Raw genomic sequence first — 24233 nt, forward strand, 5'->3', positions numbered from 1 at the left:
TCATAAGCCCAGGCCTATACCTTCCCCATCCAAAATGATCCTCTAAAGAAGCATCTGAAAAGATGCCACAGAGAGACATCAGGACAGAAAGAGCAGGCCTAAGTGGGAGCTCTGCAGGATGTTTCTTTAAGAGATTCTAAGAAGCTCCCAGCCAGAGTTGAAGGGGAAAACTCCTGCCAGGCCACCTGACTAGCTGCCACAGATTGCTTTACACAAGAAGATTGCCTGGGGCATGGAACAGGAGGTTGGTTTGTTTTTTCTTTTCTCTCTAGCTTTTTTTTTTCTTTTTTTTCTTTTTTTAACGAATACTTCTGATTAATGGAAATGGAAGATCCATGGGCAGAAAGTCACCTTCAGAAGAAAAGCTAAGTCCTCATCCCTTTGTCAATTTCAAACCCCATCACCTTGGCTTTCACAAATAACTGCCTTCTATGAAGGCATCTTTGCTAGCCCTGAAATCAACCTTTACAAAGGAGTATTCCTGGACAAAAAGTTACTTCATTTCTTCTTTTCCTCCCTATTGGAAACACATAACGTTTCAGAAGAAAGATCGCCCAAGAGCGCTGGTTTGGGAAGAGGTTCTATAAAAGTGCCATTTGGCTGGCCCAGTCTTAGAACCCAGGTTAGGGGAATTTGGGTTCTTGACAGAACAGCTGTGAGACTTGCTTCACTGGTTTGCCCAGAAAGACCCATATACACCAGAATATCCCTATTCCCCTACTGGTGAGTTAGAGCCTGAACTGAGAGTCATAAACTGCAGGAAGTGCTAAACAGTGGGAGCAGTTTAAGTTTTCCATCCAAGGAGATTGAGGAAAGCTTTCTACACGAGCTCCAAAATTGGGGAAACCTCAGCTCTTTTGGGTTCAGTGTTCATAAATGAGTGTGCACCTGAATTTCAATTCAAAAATAATTATTTTTTTCTGATTCTTCCCATAGAAGTGTTTTTAGGTCCTTGCAAAGTAAGTCTTTTACAACATACTTTAAATGTATTATTCATGGCATAAAACCTATGATAACCCCATGTGTCAGTAGTTGTCACACCATGTTCCATGAGGGTTCTCTGGGTGACCCCCAGGAAGAGGAAACAATGGTATTTACGGTGGTCAAGTAGCTACGGAGACACTTGCACCTCTTCATCAGAGGAGCAGATCCAGGAACAGAAGTCCTGCATTTACAGGCTCTTCATATCTTGTGCAGGGTTTGGCTGCCAGGTGGCCAGCTCTTGGCAGAAGAGAGGATCCATCATAGAACACCAGAGGCTGTGAGACCCAGACACGGCACTGATGAGACTGGTACAACACTGGGAACAAACTAGACTTAGCTGTCTACCTTACTTAGCTATCCCTCCTTTATTTCCTCCCTTGTCATTGTCTCCTGCTTCCTTCCTCTGGTGTCTCATCAAGAGAAGCAACTTTCCTCACATTTCTGATTGGGTGCTTTAAGAAATGCTCTACACAAAGCCTTCTCTGTGTAACCCAGATAGGAAAAATTGAAAAGGGGCTTTGTGCTGGATGCAACTCCAAGGGCATGAGTCCTTTAGTAGGGCTTCCCCTTTGCCTTTCTCCTTGCTATCCCTTCCTGTCCTCATGGCCACCACATTCACCCTCTGCCAAGGAGAGGCCTGCTGCATTCATGGATACGGCATAGAGCTGTTTGCACTCTGATCTGATCATGCTGAGTGTGCCACATAAATAGCAGCTCCTAGAAGTCTGTTTTTATTTAATCATGTTTCATGGTAGGATTCTGTAAATTTTCTAAGAATAAGGCAAAACCCAAAGGAGTATCAGTAACTCTTAGAATCTGCTGAGTTCAGAAATTCTTAGCCAGGCTCCTGTATTTATGCTTTTGTGCTTGTGACAGTGACTATACCATTAAACAGACTGCCTCCTTTATAAACACAATCTAAACTGTCATACCCACACTAATGCAATAGCCTGTTCACTGACACTAAAATAATGGTAAGGAGAGAAAGGAAAACCCAACTGCAACACTGAAAATACATATATTTTTCAAAGTAAAGTTTCATTCTGGCTGAAAAAATGGAATAAGAAACCTTTTTGTATGGAGTATTCTATGGAAAAGTTGCTCTAAGTTTTGAAGCCTGCAACCCCATTTTTACTTCCTTTTGGTATCCACCTGAAACTACTATGGTGGGCACTTGGATCTCTAGAAAACTCTGTTCATGCCTTAGTTCTGCAATAGAGCTGAGATAATTAGGGCTGATTATCATCAAATCTATTTTGGCTGTACTCTGACCTAGAAGAAAGGTTGGCTGCTGGTTGAGATGGGATGAAAAAGTCTCTCTTTCTGTATCTCTCTTTTTCTCCTGGGAACTTTCTTAGGATTGTAATTCAATTCTTCAAGTTTCCAAAAGTTTTTAATCCTCAACTTATATTTACCCTGCAGCCTACTTCTCAGATTCCTATTGATCAAACTATAAAACATTCTTCCCCTTTCAAGAACCTTTCTAGATGGTGACTCATGGGCCCTCAAGGGGTTTATACCTTGCATTCTTTCATCATGTCCCAACTGGCTTAATATAATTCTGAGAAGTGGTGTTGCTGAGGTGCTTGGAGCCTTTGCAGAACTCCATCTTTAATGCCAGCACAGAGTTCAATGTGCATTATTGGTGCAAGAGAAACAATTTTCATGGAAGCTTTAAATTTCAAGTGAAAATTTAAATAATTTTTACTTGTTTAAATATAAAATTCTGTCCTATTTTGTTTTTCAATACAAGTGGCTCTCAATTCATACATTATTGCACAATTTGCTTTGTCTCTTATCTGAAGTTCTATTCAGACTAAACACATCAATGTCCAGTAAGACTGCCTATCTCAACAGGGGCCACAGAAAAGTAATTACCAGTACAGTTTTTGAAGGTACCCTATCATCGTGACTAAAGTGCTATTTCTGTGAGACATTACAACTAAAAAATGCTTGGACTGATCAAATTTTGGAGAAAGTTCACTTTCACAAATGCTATGTTCACTACTCAGATATACAGCAATGTTTTAAAAAGAAAATAAAGCAAACCATAAACTATAAATAATACTTAGAAAGAGGCTTTGATTTCAAGTCTTTTCAGGGGCTCTAATAGGAATACAACCATATAATAGATTCCAATTCACATTAATAATTATTAATGTACCATTAAACTGACCCAAATAGATGGAAGGAATAATAACTACTCAAGTATAAAATTGTCTTTATGAGTTTTAAGTAATATTATGCAGAACTAAAGTCATTTTTGGTTATGAAATCAATGGTCAATCTTCAGCTCACGTAAAAGTACTGTGATAAAATGCCTAGCAGTAGAAGGCTGAAATAAAATTGTATCCTGAAAGCTTATCTTTTATGTTAAAATGTAAAATATGATTTATAAAGGAGCCCGGTTCAGATACCAATGTGGGTGCAGGTTCTAGGTAGCAGTCTCTCAGTTTTAAACCACTAGGATACCACAGCAACGTCCTTCCAATTAGGAGTGGCTATAGCAGCAGCAGGAGCAGCAGCTGGCCTAGATAAAAGTGCAATTAAACAGATAAGCAAATGGGGATCTGCTTCAGTTAAATATTAGGGCAGCTGAGGCTTGCATTCTCACTAAAGGAAAAGATGCATTATACCAAAGTCGTTTGCTCCAACAGTATTTCCCTTCCAATGTTACTTTGTTTAAACTGAGAGGATGCAAAGCAAGCTATACTGGTCAATGTCAGAGTAAGAAGTGGAGACCAAAGGGGCTTAGTCATGTAGTGTAGTGGGGGGAAAAGCAAATGTCCATAAAGATTGCTGTCTGGGATTAGACCTTCGCGGTGGTGTACTGTGAGAAGGAAACGACACCCTAAAATTACATTAGCTTTGCAGTGACTCGTTCAGAGAAGCTTGCATAGTGGAGTTCATACCTATTCATTATTAACGTTGGAAAGTTTTGGCATGCACTTCAGAGCTCCTGTATGTGTTGATCATTGAGGTTGCCATAGTGAATGTGAAGAAGTCAACTCAAGTTCAGGGAAAAGGAGAGTGGAACTGCCTGCCCTTTATATCCATGCACATCCTCAAATGTTAAGACATAAACTAATCATCCAACATTCAAATTTGTTTCCAAGTTGCATAGTTTGTCTTATTAACAAAATAAACTTAACACATCTTTTTTTCATACTTCAAATGCACTTGAGTTAATAATCTGTCATAATCACATATTAATACAAATGAGGTGCTTCATTCAGAAATGCACTGCATTTTTGTCAAGTAATTATCATTTCCAGGGTGAATGAAGACTAGATTAATATAAGGGATATAGAGCATGAAATATAGAAGGTTTTCCAACCCAAGGAAGACAACATCCAAAAAGGGCTAACTTGAACAAAAAGAAGTGTTAAGAGATACTTCAAATGCTTAATAATATTTAGCCACATCCTATAACATCATTAAAAATTATATTCTGGTTGAAATAGTCCTATTATGGGAAAAAGCAACAACAACATGATATTAAGTGCCACTCCTCTGAACTTGGTACTAAGGGGTGGACACAAAAGATGAGAAACATATTCCGAACAGCAAAGGAGCATATAATCTAACAGGGGTAGAGACAGACACCAAATAGTCCATGTGTTTCATTACATTGCCCAGCTTCCCTTGCAGTTAGGTTGAAGCCATGTGACTAGTTTCAGCCAATGGACTTGATGAAAAATGGCACTGCTTACTTCCAGGCTATGGGTCTGTAAGTCAGCAACCCTAGAACCCATGTGTCAAGCTGGCAAAGTCACAAGATCAAACTGATCTGGGTTCCCTGATTAGAAGGGAGCTACTCTGAAGGGCCACTGAACTCACAGTAAACAGTGCATGTGTGAGAAATAAACTTTTATATCTTAAAGCCAATGGGACCTGGGGGTTTGTTAGTTACCACAGAACAGCCTAACCTTGGCAAATGCATAAAGCCTACATAGAAATAATTAGAGAACAATTTAATTCAGGCTACCATTGGATGGTCAAGGTACGGTTAATGATTGGCAAAGAGTTTGGACAGAAAGCAATGAAAGGGTGGTCCTTGGAACTGTTCGGAGAAAAGGGAGCATGTTTCAGGCAGAGGAAATAGTAAGAGCCAAGTGAGAACTCTAACAATTGGATCGACTGGATCAGGCAGTAGATTTTTTCAGAAAGGGAGGCATTTTTGTCATCAAGCATTCTGTGAATTGCTTCATTTTCTTGCTACTTATTAATCTAACCCAGGTGTCTCCTCTCAAAGGCCTAACAATCGATGCTTAGGCCATGAGCCTTTCCTTGCAAAAATACTAGAAAGGAATCTAAAAGGTCTACCTAATTTTCTACCTTTCATTCATAAAGTACCAGCCAGGGACTCAGGTAAGGTTTTTATTCCACTTTTCCACAATCTAGTCAAGCTCTAGTCTCTACGAAGGTGGAACCAAAACTGTACAATCCCCTGCACTCTCCTGTTTCTGATTCTAAGATTATAGTGATCTTCAGGGCCCAGAAGCCCTGCTACACTACAGTGGTACTCATTTGTCTGTCCATTTGTTGATCCATTCACTCACTCCATTCCTCACTACTTCCTTGAGGTCAAAACACCAATTAGGTATGGTTCCTATCATTGAGAGGGCTGCAGTCTAATTGAGGAGATGAACATAGAGTCAATTATAATAAATGTGATAAAAGTAAACATATGATGTCAGGGGAGCACAGAGGACTGACAGACTAATAAAGCCCAGGCATTAGGAGTGTCAGAAAAGGTTTTCAAAGTGGGGGCAACATCTGCATTGACTTTTTGAAAATGAACATTAAGTTTACTAAACAGAAAAGGGAAGGAAAGACAGTAAAATAGAAAAACAAAATACATGTAGATACACAGACATAAAAAAACTGGTTGGAGAACTGTGAGTAGTTAAAGAGAGTCGTGTTATAGGTTGGGGGATAGGAGGAAGTGGTAAAAAATGAGCTGTACAAATTACTTAGAGCTTTGTAGGCCATATTGGAAAGTTTGGACATTATTCTGTAAGAAATGTAAAGTACAGTATGTGAAAGAATGAAACCATCAGACGGAAGATAATTTTATAAATTATGTAAGAATAAGATTAAGAGCAGGGAATTAGGAAACTTTTGAGTTGTTCAAGCAAGAGACAATGAGATTTTCTGTGTATATCAACACCATTATCAATGCATCCTAGAGAGACTTAGGAGGAGAGCTAAGAAGAACAGGAAAGTGAATCAAGATGTGGAAGACGTTGACACCCAGGTCTATGTGAGTGTTTGGATGGTGGGCCTTTAACTAAGACAAAGCATAGGAGAGGGAAGTTTGCGGTAATGACTAATGAGGTTGATTTTAGTCATGAGACATTTGAGGTCAATGCAAGACGCATGGGAGGGGATATGTAAGGAGAAGATGGTAATTTAAAATTCATACTTCAGGAGAGAAGTTTCATGCACAGATGGACCTTTATCTACCTGGGGTGTGGGTTGTAGCTAAACCAGGAAAGTCAATCAGATTTCCAGAAGATGGCATGGGCGCATGATGGGTTGTGAAGGATAGCATCAAGGAGGATGATTAGCAGTGTTAAATGAAAGAGAAAGGTCAAGTAAGGTAAGGCCTAAATGTGATGTGCCATGGATCTGTCCATTAAAAGGTAGAGTAAAAGATTATCTACCTCTCATTGAGCCCCTGGGTTACCCTGTCATTTTGTACAACTAGTACCTCTTCTCCATTTGACTATCCCTTTCTATAAACAAGTCTGATGTTGAATAAAGATAGCATGCTCCCCCTCTTAAATTTTTTATTTTATTATCTTTAATTGACACATTCAAAGCCAGAGGTTTTAAAATGTTTTGTCCTGCTTTGTAATCAAGTACACAACAAAGTTTAGAGAATGATGCTACTTTTTAATCAATGATATCTGTATAAGCAAGCATTATCTACAATCTGCAGGGAACCAACAGTATTACACATATTTATGGGGTACAGTGTGATATTTCAATATATGTATACAAAGTGTTACAACCAAATCAAGATAATTAGCATATCTATCACCTCAAACATTTATCATTTCTTTGTGTTGGGAATATTCAAAATCTGCTCTTCCAGCTATTTGAAAATATACAATAAATTATTGTTAATTATAGTCAGCCTATAGTGCTATAGGACATTATAATTTATTCTTCCCATCTGGGTGTACTTCTGTATCCATTAACCAACCTCTGCCTACTCCCCTTTTTGGAATTGCCTTTCACGCCAACTATGCAATGTTTATAACAACTCCTACTAGTCATAGCTTTCTGGATCACAAGTGGACTCCTGATCCACACTGATCCAATCAGGATCTCTTTTTGTTGCTTGAGAGTATAGTTAGACTATGTTAAACATTATTGCTATAAAGCTCTGTAAAGTATGGGTGAATTTCAAACCACCTATGATTTAATATTAAGGGGGGGTCTGATCTATGTAAACATTTGAGTTTGTCTTAAGTCAGTAGTACTCCCTTGCTTTCAATTTGGCTGTTGAAATGATTTCCCTCAAAGTCAAGTTCTGCTGAAATCATATCACACTCTTCTCCATGCAAAAGCCCTATTCAAGTAAACTAAGTCTCCATCCCCTGGATATATCTTATCCCTTTTCCTGCCCTCCCCTACACCAGCATTTCCTCCAAATCCTAGGCCAGTCATGAAAAACTATATTACTGAACTGCAGCAAGCAATTATTCCTGGATGCCCAAAGGATCACACAAGACTTAAGTCAATGTTGAGCTTGAGAAGCTGAGAAGCAGCTCATAAAGTCTAGCTTGCCCAAGACTTCAAAATAGTACCTACTTTACCACACTCACATCAGACCTACCAAGCTCAAACTCACACTCTACCCACAGTTACCACCTATACCAGGGTGAGAAGGAATGAGGGTGAGGAGAAGATGCCATGGCTTCCAGCTTTCAGAAGGTACAGGCTACTGATGGAATGATACAGAGATTCTTCTTCCCCCTAAAGACATTGCCCCTTATAAGGGCTACCCAGCAAACCCCGATCTGAGAGTAAAAAAAGGAAGCCTCCTAGGCAGGTCCTTACCATTTCATACCGCTAATGAACTATGAGCATTCGGTGTTACCGGTCTCTCAAAATCTTGAGCAGGAAAGAACTTAAAAGAAGGAGAGAGGGAGAGAAAGGGCACCAACGTATAAAACAGAAGGGGAATGGAGGTCAATGGAAATATGCAAAACAGGGAAAAGAATCAAAAGAGCAAGAGAGTATGTTACAAACTCCAAAAAGCAAATTTAGCCAGAGGTTTTAAAAAAACATTTTCCTGCTTTGTAATGAATTACATACCAAAGTTTAGAGAATGATGCTACTTTTTAATTGAGGATATCTTAGTAAGCATTATCTACAATCTGCAGGGCACTAACAGTATTATTCTTAGTTATCTTATTTTCATATATTTATGACCTTGTTTCTTCATCTTAAAATAAGAGGCCCTAGAACTGAATGTGTCTTAAGTCCATCCGGTCTTGAGAGTTTCCATGGGAAGAAGGTAGGTATGGTCCCCAGGGATGCATGTCTTCTCGCAGCACTACAGAACATTCAAACCTAAAAACACTGGGTAGTTACTAATTTAATTAAAGTGTTCTGCCTAAAAAACCATTAGAAAATCACTCCCTTTCACTGAGAAAGGCAAGCACATGATTACTTACTAGGATTCAGTACTGGGCTTTTGACACATCTGACATATCATCATCACAGATCATTCATGTAACTGGTAGCAGAGCCCAGTGGTAAGAACAAACTTAGGGGCTGGCCTGCCTGGATTTGAATCTTGGTTGTATTGAACAAGAAACTTAGACAGATTGCATATTTCTCTGTGCCTTGGTTTCTCATCTGTAAGATGTCAATAATACCAACTTCACAGAATTTATATAGGAGTAAATGAGTTAACAATGGTAAAGTACAAATGGTCCCCAATTTTGGATGGTTCATTTATGATTTTTCCACTTTACAACGGTATGAAAGTCACATGCATTCCGTAGAAACTAGACTTTAATATTTGAATTTTGATATTTTCCCGGGCGAGCAACATGCCCAATGAGACTCACTCATGATGCTGGGCAGCAGCAGCTAGCCACAGCTACCAGTCAGCCACGAAATCACAAGGGGAAGCAAACAATACAGTGTACTGTGTTGCCAGATGATTTTTGCCCAACTGTATTTCAAGTACTGTGAGCATGTTTAAAGTATGATAAGCAAAGCTATAATGTACAATAGGTTAGGTGCATTGAATGCAGTTTTGACTTACGATAGTTTCCACTTACAATGGCTTAATGAGGACATAACCCCATCATTAATGGAGGAGCAGCTGTACTGAGAACAGTACCTGGCACTAAATAGGGGTATTTGCTTAAAAAGATTTTAAAATCTAAGTGTTATTATTGGCCCTGTTTTACAAGGTGTTAGTCCATTCTCACACTGCCAGGAAGAAATACCTGAGACTGGGTTATTCATAAAGAAAAGAGGTTTAATTGACTCCCAGTTTAACATGGATGGGGAGGCCTCAGGAAACTTACAATCATGGCAGAAGGCAAAAGAGGCAATTCTTACATGGAGGCAGGCAAGAGAGCAAGCCAGAGCAGGGAAAACTGCCTTATAAAACCATCAGATCTCCTGAGAACTTATTCACTATCATGAGAACAGCATGGGGAAAATGCCCCCATGATCCAATCACCTCCCTCCCTTGATATGTGGGGATTATGGGGATTACAATTCGAGATGAGATTTGGGTGCGGACACAGAGCCAAACCATATCATTCTGCTCCTGGCCCCTCCCAAAACTCACATCCTCATATTCAAAACACAATCATGCCTACCCAACAGTCCCCCAAAGTCTTAACTAATTTCAGCATTAACTCAAAAGTCCACAGTTCAAAGTTTCATCTGAGACAAGGCAAGTCCCTTCCAACTATGAGCCAGTAAAATAAAAAATAAGTTAGTTCCTCCCAAGATACAATAGGGGTACAGGCATTGTGTAAATACACCTGTTCCAAATGGGAGAAATTGATCAAAACAAAGGGCCTACAGGCCCCATGCAAGTCTGAAATCCAGCAGGGCAGTTACTTCTGACTCCATGTCTCATATCCAGGTCACACCGATGCAAGAGGTAGGCACCCAGGGTCTTGGGCAGCTCTGCCCCTATGGCGTTGCAGGGTACAGCCCCCCTCCTGGCTGCTCTCACAGGCTGGCAATGAGTGTCTGCGGGTTTTCCAGGCACAGTGCAAACTGTGGGTGGACCTACCATTGTGGAATCTGGAGGACCGTGGCCCTCTTCTCACAGCTCCACTAGGCAGTGGCAGTGGGGACTCTGTGTGGGAGCTCCAACCCCACATTTCCCTTCTGTACTGCCCTAGCAGAGGTTCTCCATGAGGGCCCTGACCCTGCAGCAGACCGCTGCCTGGGCATCCAGACATTTCCATATATCCTCTGAAATCTAAGCAGAGCTTCCCAAAGCTCGATTCTTTCTCTCTCTTTTTTTTTTTAAGTTGTGATAACAGATTTTATTCAGGAACAATTGCAAAGGAGAAAGAAATCCAGGTTCAATTTCAAATACAGCATGGACAAGTGGAGATTTATAGCCAAGGAGGAGGGTGAGGTCAATGGATGGAAAATTAGTGAGAGGAAACATCACATATAAGGGCGATTCCGGCTAAACTGACTTGATAGGATTCTTGGTGAAGGTGGGCCAGGATGATCACACACCAAAGGTTATGAGGCTGAGGAATTTGAAAATCCACCTTCAGTTCTTTGAAAATCTGCTGTCTATGTCACTACAATTAAATTATAAGTGCAAGTGAGTTGTTGGCAAGGCAGCATGCCAAAGCTGAGTTAAACAGCTAGGAAGACTCTAGAGATAAGAATCCTTATTTTTAAATCAAATTTTGTCAGTAAGTATTCTTAAAAAGGTAAGCTTACAAAAGCCAAAGTGATTGAACATTGTTTCATGGTCTATGCAGTCAACTTTCAACTTCCTTATGGCCTGAAGACAAGTGGCCATGAGCAATAAGCATTTTTTAAAGTTTTATTTTATTTATTTCATTTTATTTTAAGTTCCAGGGTACATGTGCAGGATGTGCAGGTTTGTTACATAGGTAAACGCGTGCCATGGTGGTTTGCTGCACCTATCAACGCATCACCTAAGAATTAAGTGCAGCATGCATTAGCTATTTTTCCTGATGCTCTCCTTTCCCCCACCCTGCTTACAGACCCCAGTGTGTGTTGTTCCCCTCCCTGTGTCCATGTGTTCTCATTGTTCAGCTCCCACTTATGAGTGAGAACATGTGGTGTTTGGTTTTCTGTTCCTGCATTAGTTTGCTGAGGATAATGGCTTCCAGCTCCGTCCATGTCCCTGTAAAGGACATGATCTCATTCCTCTTTATGTCGGCATGGTATTCTATGATATATGTACCACATTTTCTTTATCCAGTCTATCACTGATGGGCATTTGGGCTGATTCCGTGCTTTTGCCATTGTGAATAGTGCTGCAGTGAACATACGCATGCATGTATCTTTATAGTAGAATGATTTCTATTCCTCTGGGTATATGCCTAGTAATGGGATTGCTGAGTCAGTTGGTATTTCTGGTTCTAGGTCTTTGAGGGATTGCCACACTGTCTTCCACAATGGATGAACTAATTTACATTCCCACCAACAGTATAAAAGCATTCCTATTTCTCCACTGCCTCAGCAGCATCTATTGTTTCTTGACTTTTTAATAATTGCCATTCTGAATAGCGTGAGATGGTATCTTATTGTGGTTTTGATTTGCATTTCTCTAATGATCAGTCATGTTGAGCTTTTTTTTTCATATATGTGTTAGCTGCATAAATGTCTTCTTTTGAGAAGTGTCTGTTCATGTCCTTTGCCTGCTTTTTAATGGGGTTGTTTGTTTCTTTCTTGTAAATTTGTTTAAGTGCCTTGTAGACTCTGGTTATTAGATCTTTGTTAGACGGATACCTAAACTTCAACTCTTGACTTTTGTGCATCCACAGGTCCAACACCACATGGAAGCTGCAAAGGCCTGGGGCTTGCACCCTCTGAAGCAAAGGCCTGGGGCTTGCACCCTCTGAAGCAACAGCCTGAGCTGTACGTTGGCCCCTTTTCGCCATGGCTGGAGCAGCTGGGAACACAGGGCACCAAATCCTTAAGCTGCACACAGCAGTGGGGCCCTTGATCCAGTCCACAAAACCATTTCTCTCCTAGGACTCTAGGACCATGATGGAAGGGGCTGCCATGAAGACCTCTGACATGCCCTGGAGACATTTTCCCCATTGTCTTGGCAATTAACATTTAGCTCCTCATTACTTATGCAAACTTCTGCAGCAAGCTTGAAATTCTCCCCAGAAAATGGGTTTTTCTTTTCTATCGCATCATCAGGCTGCAAATTCTCCAACCTTTTATGCTCCACTTCTCTTTTAAACATAAGTTCCAATTTCAAATCATCTCTCTCAAGTTCAAAGTTCCACAGATCTCTAGGGTGGGGCACAATGCCACCAGTCTCTTTACTAAAACACAGCAAGAGTGACCTTTACTCCAATTCCCAACAAGTTCCTCATCTCCATTTGGGACCACCTCAGCCCGAACTTCATTGTCCACACCATTATCAGCACTTTGGTCAAAACCATTCAACAAGTCTCTAGGAAGTTCCAAACTTTCCCACATCTTCCTGTCTTCTTCTGAGCCCTCCAAACTGTTCCAACCTCTATCCATTACCCAGTTCCAAAGTCGCTTCCACATTTTCAAGTATCTTTATAGCAGTGCCCCCCACTCTGGGTACCAATTTACTGTATTAGTCCGTCCTCCCACTGCTATAATGTAATACCTGAGACTGGGGAATTTATACAGAAAAGAGGTTTAATTTGCTCACAGTTCCACATGGCTGGGGAGGCCTCAGGAAACTTACAATCATGGCAGAAGGTGAAGCAGGTACATCTTACATGGTGACAAGTGAGACAGAGAGCAAGAGCAAGAAATACTGCCTTATGAAACCATCAGTTCTCATGAGAACTCACTCACTATCATGAGAACAGCGTGGAGGAAATCCCATGATCCAATCCCCTCCTGCCTGGCCCCTCCCTTGACACGTGGGGATTACAATTCAGGATGAGATTTGGGTGGGCACACAGGGCCAAACCATAGCATAAGGGAAGAAACCAATACTTACAAAGGGTAAGTAAATGGAGTTCAAAATCACCCAAGGAGTAAATTGTGAAGCTAGGATTCAAACAGACCAAGACTCCAGAGCTTGTAGATTTTACTGCCATAGACAAAATGACTTATGTAAGGACAGAGTACATTGAAATAATTACCTAGGAACAGACACTGAGAATATATGACTCTTCTATTTGACTAGACTAGGAATTTTCAATGATTTCCTATTGACTTTTATAACGTAAAAGTTAAAAAATTTTATGTCCTTTTAATGCCATACTTGCGTATTATTTTAAAGTTTGGTGCTCCTTAACGTTCCCATCCACGTGTACTCCAGATCATGAAAACAATAAAAATACTAAATAAGCCCACGTCTTTCAAAAAAAAAAAAAAAACCTGATTTTTCACTATATCACCTTAGATTAAAATAGTAAGTTCTCACTTTGCTCAGGTACTGTGGTAAGAATCAACATTATCTCACTGTATCCTCATAATAATCGTCTAATTTACAAAATGAATAAACAAAAGCTCAGAATATTTAAGTAAATTCCCCAAGCTCACATAGCTAACAAATGGCGCAAAGCTAGCATTTCAACCATCTCTGCTTGACTCTAAACTATTCTCCTACACTATTTCCTTTAGAACCATGCCAACTATGGGATCATTTTACATTCTTCACAGATATCATCTCATCAAGACAGGGCCTTGGAATTTATATAAACATTAGCCTACTATGAGCAAATAAAATGTTAACTGTCTCCAAAGAGATTAAAGAATGGGGCATATAAAGATGGAACAACAAAAATTCAAGTGATAAATTCTATTGGGGTGGCAATTAAAGAATAACAACAATAATTTTTATTTCTATTATATTTTACAACTCTGTAAACTGTTTCTGACTTTCCGACAGAAGTAAGAGGTAAGTTTATTTAACAGCCCTTGAGTAAACTGCATAAGCAATCCGACCCCCATCAGTAAATGTGCAGGGCCATTCTGAAGACGGAATGAGCTCATGCAAGAAGATGCCCAGTAGAGCACCCAGGCAGGACAGGCACAGTGTAGGTGCTCAACTCATGCCAAGATCTGTCACTTTATAGCTGCTCATGCCTAGCACAGAGAATGGCACAGAGGGTCCTTTTAAAATGTCTGAGAGGAATGTGCTATGATCTCAGTCGTCTAATAGGATTCACCTTTTCTACAATTGCCTATTTTCTGAACTCAGCTCCGAAATGAGCTATTCTCTGTTTCACTCTTTTTCACATTATCCAAAATAATTCAATGTCCACCTTTTCCTTTGGGAAAATCAAAGGTTGACATGGCTACCTTTTGAACTCAAGCTGTTAAAGATCCTTTCTTGTGTTCAAAAGTTTTACTGATTTTGAAAGGTCTTATTGATAAAAACACAGAGAAACTCGGGGGAAAAGGACAAAGAGAAAAAAGAAGAAAGGGAAGAATAAAGAAGCCAGAAAATAAAGACAAGGAAGAGAGCCCAAGAGGAGCAGAAAGAGGCAATAGGCTACTGAATGCATAACTGCCAGCCATCTTAGAAACTAGCTCATGTAACAATCATGCAGCATTATTTTTAAAAACCAAGGGGAAAATATTTACATAAAACCCAAAAGATATATGCTCTTTTTTAAGTGCTGCAAAATGACAATGTATTCAATTCATTAATTCATGAATTAGTCTGTGTGATGTTTACTTCTGGAGCCATTAGCATTCCTGAGCTAAATATTTAAAAGAATAAAAAGGAAATTTAAGAACTAAAGATAGAAGAATATATTCTTTCTGTTGTTTTTGTTACTCTATTTTTTCGGCTATGTTTGTATGGTTTTAGTCATTTATTTAGGGCTTTTAAAGAAATGAGTGACATGAAACCATCCAACTCCCTCTTGAAGACCTCTGTCTCCAAGATATGTATAAAAGTCACACAAATTTTAAATAATTTAAAACAAAGTTATGCAGAAAACTCACGTAAATTTTAAGCATTTTTCTAATTGTGCTTATAAATAATAGTTTCAAAAGCAGATATGTTACAATAAACACATATTCAGAGTAAATTAGGCCTTAATTATGTTTAGCAAATTTTATGTCCTCATTAAAAACAGAATTGCAACAATAAACATGACTTACCACCAGAATTAACTCTGCCACAATTGTCTACTCTTCCCAAACATTCTTTGTGTGCTCTCGCTCCACACTTAAAACATAAATAGCCTTGATAAAATGTTCCCCTGAAAGGTGAAATAAGAAAGTGGTATATTAAACGGTGCAAAATTCTGCCCATATGAAATTACTGCAAGAAGAAGAAAAAAAGTATCAACAGTGCTCTTCAAGGTACCCCCTTGGTAGAGGGAGACGAGCTTGCCAGAGCTTCTGAAAGGACTGTCCAGGCAGAAAGCCTGGCAAAGGTTTGTGGGATCCAGACTGCTAAGGCAAATTCCCCACTTTAGAACCTATTGGCTAGAAGGTTAGAAAAGTCTGAAACACTTAGCAATTATATCAGTTCCTTTAAACTGAAAACCAGGACTGAGCAGGCTTACCTCAGGAGCATCTGGCAGACTTTGCAGGATGTGACTCGAGTGAAGGTATGCATCTTGAAGTCGTGGAAATTGGAGTCTGCATAGTCTGGTCTTATGTTAGACCTAAAAAAAGGAAAAAAATAACTTTCTATAGAAAGTTTCACAACAAAGCTGCAATTTAGTCATCTAAACCCTAAATTCATCAAAATGACATCAGGTAGAGATCTGATTCAAGCAAAATGACTACTAAATGTGCAATGTTTTCTAAGCCAAAAGTATGCTATGCATTCAAATATGTACCAGAATCTGGCTGTGTGGGAACAAGCAACCTGGAAGGACATAGCAACCTAATCCTCCTCAGAATTGAGCATTCTCAGAGAACTTTAACAAATGGCCACATAGGTCAACCTGCCTGGAAAAAAAAAAAAAAAAACCCACTGGATACTCATCTTATCTGATAGTTCCTTGTCTGTAGCCACGCCACTGAAATATAAACTAGCAGGTGAGGGTAGGAGGGAGAAGAGGGTCATCTCTAAATAGATGTGTGGACAACATAATGGTCCATAACAAGGAATACAGTAATTTTATAGAAAGTTTTAAAATAAAGCATTAGTGTGAACATTAAAAAATTCTTAACATTTCACTTTACTCACAATCTAAGTAATAATGAAACAAAATAATTTTACCATTTATTTTATATTTTATTTATATTATACATACAAAAGTTATTTTGCACACCACAAACTAATATTCTTTGTATATTTACTCTGTGCCACAGACTGTGACAACCATATGACATTCATTTCTTCATTTAATCTTCACATCAATCCTAACTGCCTGGCACGAATAATATCACTAGTTTACAAATAAGAAAACTGACACTTACTCTAAAGTAGAGCTTACCCTTAAAGAAAACAGCATGATTGGGAACTCTAACTCAGGTCTTTGCTTTTGGCCACTGAAACTATAGCTCAAGGAGGAGATTCAGCAATGTTCATATTAAAATAATCAAATTTTTGTACTTAGTAGGTATTTTGAAAACATTTAACTTTTTTTTTACATTATTCTTGGCTTAGCTATTTAGGTTGCTGCAAAAGTAATTGAGGTTTTTGCTATTATTTTTGATGGCAAAAGAGGGCAGAAAATTAGACTAGGATAAGTTAAAGATGGATACAAATCAGGGGTACACCTAGAAAGCTAAAATGATATGCTCCGAGACGTTACACGCAATTTGAGAGACTGTAGGAAAAGCTTGAGATACTGATGAGCCAGGATTTCCCCTTTTATAGAATACAGCAACTCTCAACCACACAGAATCCTGGCGAAATGAAGCATAACACAGGCAGGCGACCAGGCATCAATCTCTGAGGTACCAGGAGATGCCTTATGAAAAAACATTCGCAAAGGCAATTGGAGTAGCAGGCAGTGATGCAGAAGTGTCAGAGAGGTCAGCCTTCCAATCCATCTGCTGAATATGAGCGTGCTAAAAATGAAATCAAATATTAGTGCCATCTGGGATTTCTCTGCTCTGTGCTTCTGGTGACCTCACTTTTTCGGAAAATGTTCCACTGCACGCTGAGAATTATGGACATTTCCATGGAGGCATTTTTGTGTTACTGATTAAAAATTGCAGAGCTTTTCTACAGAAAAGGAGACACAGGAACATATAAGGATCTAGAAACAAAACTTTCTTCACATTGTTCAGAAAACATTTGATTCTTGAGTCCATAAAGCCATGCATTGAAAACTCCATCAAAACCTGTTTCCTTAGTCAGGAAGGGCTGTTGGTTCATTTGTTTCTGAGCATCAAGGTGATAGGGTCATAGATGATTTGTCAAATAAGTTTGAGTCCTGGCAACCCGAAAAATTCATCAACCTGGAGTTTTCAAACAGAAGTACATCTCCTTCAGGCAGAAACTCATGTAAATAAGTTCCAAACAGGTAAGAAGTTAATTAATTTCAAAAATCTGCCTCGGACACAGGTGGAACATCCACAGGCACACACATGAACATACCGGAGTTGTGTTTGGACCACTGGTATTTAAAACTTTCATGAACTAAGAATAAGCTGAACTTTCAGAAAATAAACAACTGAAAGGGGGAATCACAAAGCCACTAAGATGTTTTACAAAAAAATTATGATGAAAAAGGTTCTGAAAATATTGTTAACAGTAGCTGCCCTATGGGAATAAAGACTTAAAGTGGTAGGTAAAAGAGTAGAAAGAAACTATTAGAATTATTTGAAAACTAAAATGGTAAATTATTTTTAAAATCTAGAATCAAACACTAAAGAACAGATGTTAACTCTATGACCCTGAAACTGCTGCTGAGGCAGTATTGAATAAAAAGCATAGGTAAGGACAGGAATCTGAAACTAGACCACCTGGGCTTACATCCTAACTTGCAAATCAGTAGCAGCGTGATCTTAGGCAAGTTAGTGAGTATAAAACAGGAATACCAATAAAACCAAACTCATCAAGTGATATATGTAACGTGCTTAGAACACTGCCTGACCCATATTTGGTGTTCAATCAATGTTGGCTACAATTTATGAAGTGCTGATTCCAAATCCATATAATAAGGGTGTGATCATGATAGTGCTTTGTGACTGGTAAAGAGTCCCTTTTTAGGTCTGTGACCAAGTCCCCAGAGGACACCCATTCTTCTGAGAATCTCCAGCACAACGACTTATATGCTCAGTGTCCTTGGGACTAGGAATCCATATGTAATTATTGAAGTGTAAGAGGGTAACTCAAGAGATTACATGTATGAAAAACCTTGTGTATGAAACTGTGATCTCTTCAGTTCACACTGAAGTACAAACTGAGGAGATCATACATGGTCCGTGGCCTGTGGGGGTGCCGAAACCAAAGACAGTAAGCTGGCTGGATGAGAAGGGTTGGGAAAGTAGATTGCAGCAGAAGACGACAGAAATGTCAGGATTACAGATTTGGAGAAACAAAAAATTAAAATGGTCAAAAGAGGCATTTATTTCACATCTCTAATGTACCAGATACATCACTAGGCTCTTCATATACTTTTTCACATTTACTTCTCAGAACAAATCTACAAGGCAGAGTCATTCATCCATTTCATAAGTATTTATTGAGTAACTACCATATGCACAAGCCCTTGGGCAGGAACAGAAAGAAGCCTCCTTCAGCTGGAGTCAAATGAGCAAAGACATGAGATAGGTTGGCAGGGACCAAGGAAAGAAGTGAGATTTTATACAGGATTGACATCACATTTAGTTGAGGAAGAAAAAAAAAAGTTCTGCTGCTACTACATAGAGATTTCCTTTATAGTAAGACAAGCGTGGATATAGTAGGACCAATCATGGGGTTGGGTTGTCTATAGATGAGTGCTGAGTGTCAAACAGATTAGTTAACTCGCTCAGTCATGCTGATACACATAAAGAATTCCATTTTAGTAATCTGCCTTAACATATGACAATTTACTTTTGAGAATGTCAATGGAATCTTGCAGATTAATCAAATGTTCCCATTTCTTTTGCTTCACATAGAACTCATTATGAATATAACTAATCAGGCAATCAAACATTTATAGGGCAAGGAATGTTGACACTCTTAGGGCTTCATATAGCTTTACATGCTGTCCTTAGATGTTCTCTTCTCACCTGGCTCCATCACAGGCCTTAAGTTGAAGACCTCACTTTCCCCCTAGCCTGGACCTCTTTGTTCTCCAGATATGCATTCCTAACTGCTCCTCAGGCATCTCAAATGCAGCATATACAAAACTCAACTTCCATGTGTTTCCTGACATATCTGATTCATTTACTCCATCTTCCAAACTGGGAACTTCAAAATCACAATGAATTTTTCCCTCTCCCTCACACCCTCTACATGTACATTTTCTCTTAACCCTTCCTGTGATTCAATTTTTCCTTCCCTGAAATCATGACCAATTTCGGTCAATTCAAGCTTAAAAATACCTCCTCAAAAACTCAGGTTCCATACAAACACATATACACACCCGCACACCCACACACACATACCCCCCCACACACCCTATCCTATTGGTTTTGTTTCTCTAAAGAATCCTAATATAGACACACTAGAAAATAATGTTAGATAGGTTTACTGGGGCCAGTTACCAGAGGAGATGGAAGCAATGCTGAAATTCAGATACGTCAGCCTCCATAACACTTTATGTAACATCTGATGCCGAGTTAAGTAGACCTCCTAGGCTTTCAGTAACTTTGTACCGCCCTAAAAGTAGCACTAAAAGTACTTGTAAGTCCGCCTCCCCACTGACCTGTGTGGAGGGTGCATCTTCTCCTTCTTACCAGTCTCCTCTTTATAGTCATCAAACATTCTACCAGGAAAATTAATGCTAGATATTCATAGCTGATAGAAATCAGAAAAAATATGCTTTTACTGTAGTATTTTGTTTGTTTTCAAAAGCTGCCTTTTGCCACATTATCAGATAGAAAGATGGAAGAAGTAAAGGAAAGATAAGAGACATTTTTATTAAGCCAAAAAAAATTACCTCTTATGTGAAAGAACACTGAAGAAAAACATGATTCACTAAATTTCAATTAAATCTCAGAATTTATGTTTACTTACATATATCCTCTCTTTATTGTGAGAAAATATTTAAACTTTGATATGGTTTGGCTGTGTCCCCAACCCAAATTTTATCTTGTAGTTCCAATAATCCCCACGTGTCGTGAGAGGGACCAGGTGGAGATAACTGAATCGTGGGGATGGTTTCCCCCATCCTGTTCTCATGATACGGAGTTATTTCTCATGGGATCTGATGGTTTTATAAGGGGCTGCCCCCTTCACTGGGCACTCATTCTTCTCCTTCCTGCTGCCATGTGAGAAAGGACGTGTTTGTCTCCCCTTCTACCATGACTATAAGTTTCCTGAGGCCTCCCCAGCCATGCTGAACTGTGAGTCAATTAAATCTCTTTTTTAAATAAATTACCCAGTCTCAGGTATGTCTTTCTTAGCAGTGTGAGAACAGACGAATACAATATTTTTACAAAAAACTATAATCGTACTCATACATATATTTCAGTAATAAGTATGACAGTGTAGTTAGTAATACAATGTAAAATAATAATACATATGATTTTTAAAACATACATGCTTAAAATGAACATTTTTCTCTATTTTAACTGTAAATTTTAAAATCACTATGTCATTTTAGTAATATAGTTATAGAATAAAGGAAGCAAATCCTAGCAAGATGAAATCATCTGTAATGATCATGACCAATTACAGAGCAAATAAGATGAGAACCAATTTATGACATCATGCTGTCTCATGCTCTATCAGTATTAACAATCAAGTATTACCAGTATGGACATTGTGGCAATTATGTAGTATACATAAAATGGTTTATTTCATCATATTGCATTGAAAGTAAAAGTAGGAGAGCTGGAAGCAAATGTCAGTGCTTCAAAAACACCTGTCTGAATGCAACAGGCTTTTTTGTATCAAAAATACATCGATTTATAAAAATGTATTCACACACATAGCTTTGTGTGTGTTGCTAAAATACAGAAAATATATATTTTGGCCAACAGATACCAAATACAGATTACTTATTTGAGAATGTCCTTTAGAAATATGCTAAACAGTCTTATTTTTATTTATTATTATTAATACTTACAATTATTTTTCTCCATGATACAACAAGTTGGCTCTCTTCTTGCATCCTTCTATTAACCTCTATTATTTAAGTGGCAATAAATTACAATAAGCCTACTACTTAAGTTAATCTTATTTTCCATAGCAAGGTTTTAAAATCATTTAAAATAATATGGATAGTTTATCGCCAGGATAGTTAGCGATATCATGACTCTTTTTAAATAAGGCTTTTCAAATATGTGAAACAATTTATCACATTAATAAAGAAACAAAAAAATTGGGTTGTCTCAACAGGTATCAAAAAAGACTTAAAATGCATTGTGTGCTTCTAATGAAACTAAATAAACTAGACATTAAGGGATAGTTTCTTACTATGATAAAGAATATCAAACTAAAGATAATAGAAAACATATCTAATATAAAACACTATCACAATTATATTGAAAATAAAAGTTTTTGAAGTCAACTGTATTTTTCAATATTGTTCTGGAAGATCTAATCACTGTAATATGACAAGAAAAATGAATGTGAAGGATAAATATTGTAAAAAAGTACACAGAATTTTCATTTAGAGATGACAATATTGGGACTATCAGGAAAAACTAAGAGAAGATATTTAAAAGTGATAAAACTAATGAGAGATGAAGACATCAAGTGGCACCTGAAGAGATCTGTGTGTAAGTTTCTAATGCTCTCTAGCAAAGAAATGCAGTAATATGTGTAGCATCTCTGTCTGGAAAAATCTCTTGAGACCCCGAGTGCAAAGATTTTGGAGGGACTGGTCACACAGACACTCTCTGCCTACATACTCAGCCACAATATTTTTAAAAAATCCCAGAAGGAAGTATAAATCACATTTTTTTTAAGTCTAGGCAGATTGGCACAATGAAATTCAGTACCCCTGGTACACCAAATAACCTTATCACTTAGTACCACAGGGAACATTCTGAAGTCAAGTTATCAGATGACAGCCAAGGACAAGCCAACCCTGTAAGCAAATCCTTCTAAAGATAGCAAATTCGAGCTTGCTATGTTAACTAGTTTCTGCATGAAAATGTCTAAGAAAAATCCTAACATGAAAAGTTTAGGTTCTATAAAATAAAGTTTTAAATTAACTGAGAGAAATAAATGCATTCAATAAATTCGTAAGTAGTCTTTTTTTTTTGAAACAGAGTCTTGCTCTGTCGCCCAGGCTGGAGTGCAGTGGTGCAACCTCTGCCTCCCAGGTTCGAGCGATTCTCATGCCTCAGCCTCCTGAGTAGCTGGATATGGGCATGCACTAGCATGCCTGGCCAATTTTTGTATTTTTAATAGAGACGGGGTTTCACCATATTGGCCAGGCTGGTCTCAAACTCCTGACCTCAGGTGATCTGCCCACCTCAGCCTCCCAAAGTGCTGGCATTACAGGTGTGAGCCACCGTGCCCGACAACGCATTCAATAAATTAAAAGCCGCATAGCAAGCTCCTAAATAAGAAAATGGAATATTTTATTATAAATACACAACCTCTCTCCGATTTACAAATTTAAAACAAATCCTTCCTTGCAAACCAACACACAAACATACTCTCTCTCACACGCACACTTATAAATATACAATGAGATTTTTTTAACTTGACAAATGATTATAAAATACAACCAGAAGATAAATATGTGAGAATAGTTGGAAAATGTTTTAAACTGTGTGAATTAGTGTAGAGCAAGCTTGTCCAGCCCATGGTCTGCAGGCCACATGTGGCCCAACACAAATCCGTAAACTTTCTTGAAACATTATGAGATTGAGATTTTTTGTGTGTGATTTTTTTAAAGCTCATCAGCTATCGTTATTGTTAGTGTATTTTATGTGTGGCCCAATACAAATTCTTCTTCCAAAGTGGCCCAGAGAAGCCAAAAGATTGGACACACCTGTTGTAAAGAGTATATGGGAAGCCACTATAACCTAAGAAATACTAAAATGTTTTTAGAAGTATAGTTATTAAATTTGTATGGGACTGATAACAAAACAGACAGATCAATAATATAAAATGTAAAAGTCTTGAAGGGGACCGAATATGTGCAAGGACTTGGTATGTGATTTTTGTGGCAGTTTATTAGTCTATTCAAAAAATAAAATGCTCATTTAAAAAAAACTTATTAATTATCTAATATGTGCCATGCAGTGGGATATGATGATGAACAAAAATAAGTAAAGTCCCTGACTAATGTTGGCTTGTAGGGTGGAAGCGGGGAGAAGAACATTTAAATAATTCCACAAACAATCATGAAACTGCAGCTATGACAAGTGCTACAAAGAAAGATCACGTTAGGAAAACTTGAAACGTAAATTATGACCTTGTCGGTGTATTACCACAGAAGGATTTTCTACAGAAATAGGTGGAAAGCAAGAGGAAGAATTTCGGGACAGAGGAAAAACAGCAGGCTTAAATATGACTTAAAAGTACATGTCCAGCTTTCTAAAAAGGTTAAGAAAGCTAGATTTCTATTCACATTTTTATAACAATATAAAGTTTAGATAAAGACTTATACTATCTATTTGAAAAATACATATTACATGCCTATGATGTGCCATGAATACAGCCAACGATAAGGAATAAAATCGACAAAATTGCTGCCTTCATGAGGCTTATATTCTGCATTTAAATGTAAAATTTAGATAGGAACCTGATATTTATTTTAAACAAAAAACAAAAATACAAGTATTTGGAGAAAATATTGATAACTACTTATATAATCTTTAAAGGAAATGAAAGCAAACAAAAGATGGCTGGCCTCATTTTCACTTAGAAAAACAAACCCAAACTTTTATTTAAATAAAAAAAACACATAAAAAATTAGAGAAAGCAGAAAAATGTTTAGAATATGTATGGTAAAAGATTAATCTCCTTGCAATACACAAGTACCATTGAAAGTCCATAA

At 38.2% G+C, this 24233-nt stretch overlaps 1 protein-coding gene across 13 annotated transcripts in view; it reads right to left on the minus strand.

Moving 5' to 3' along the window:
• Window positions 1–24233, minus strand: part of VAV3 (vav guanine nucleotide exchange factor 3) — a 394020-nt gene that overhangs the window by 118077 nt on the left and 251710 nt on the right. For all 13 annotated transcript variants that reach the window (XR_007063680.1, XM_017000053.2, NM_006113.5 and 10 more), the window contains 2 exons: window positions 15723–15824; window positions 15313–15413 (listed from right to left, as the gene is read on the minus strand). Coding sequence is in view for 12 of the 13 variants with exons in the window: in XM_017000053.2 (XP_016855542.1) it covers window positions 15313–15413; window positions 15723–15824 (203 nt within the window). In the remaining variant the exon portion in view is untranslated. The remainder of the gene's footprint in view (window positions 1–15312; window positions 15414–15722; window positions 15825–24233) is intronic.

The sequence above is a fragment of the Homo sapiens genome, chromosome 1 (genome assembly GCF_000001405.40).
Source record: "Homo sapiens chromosome 1, GRCh38.p14 Primary Assembly".
NCBI lineage: Eukaryota > Metazoa > Chordata > Mammalia > Primates > Hominidae > Homo > Homo sapiens.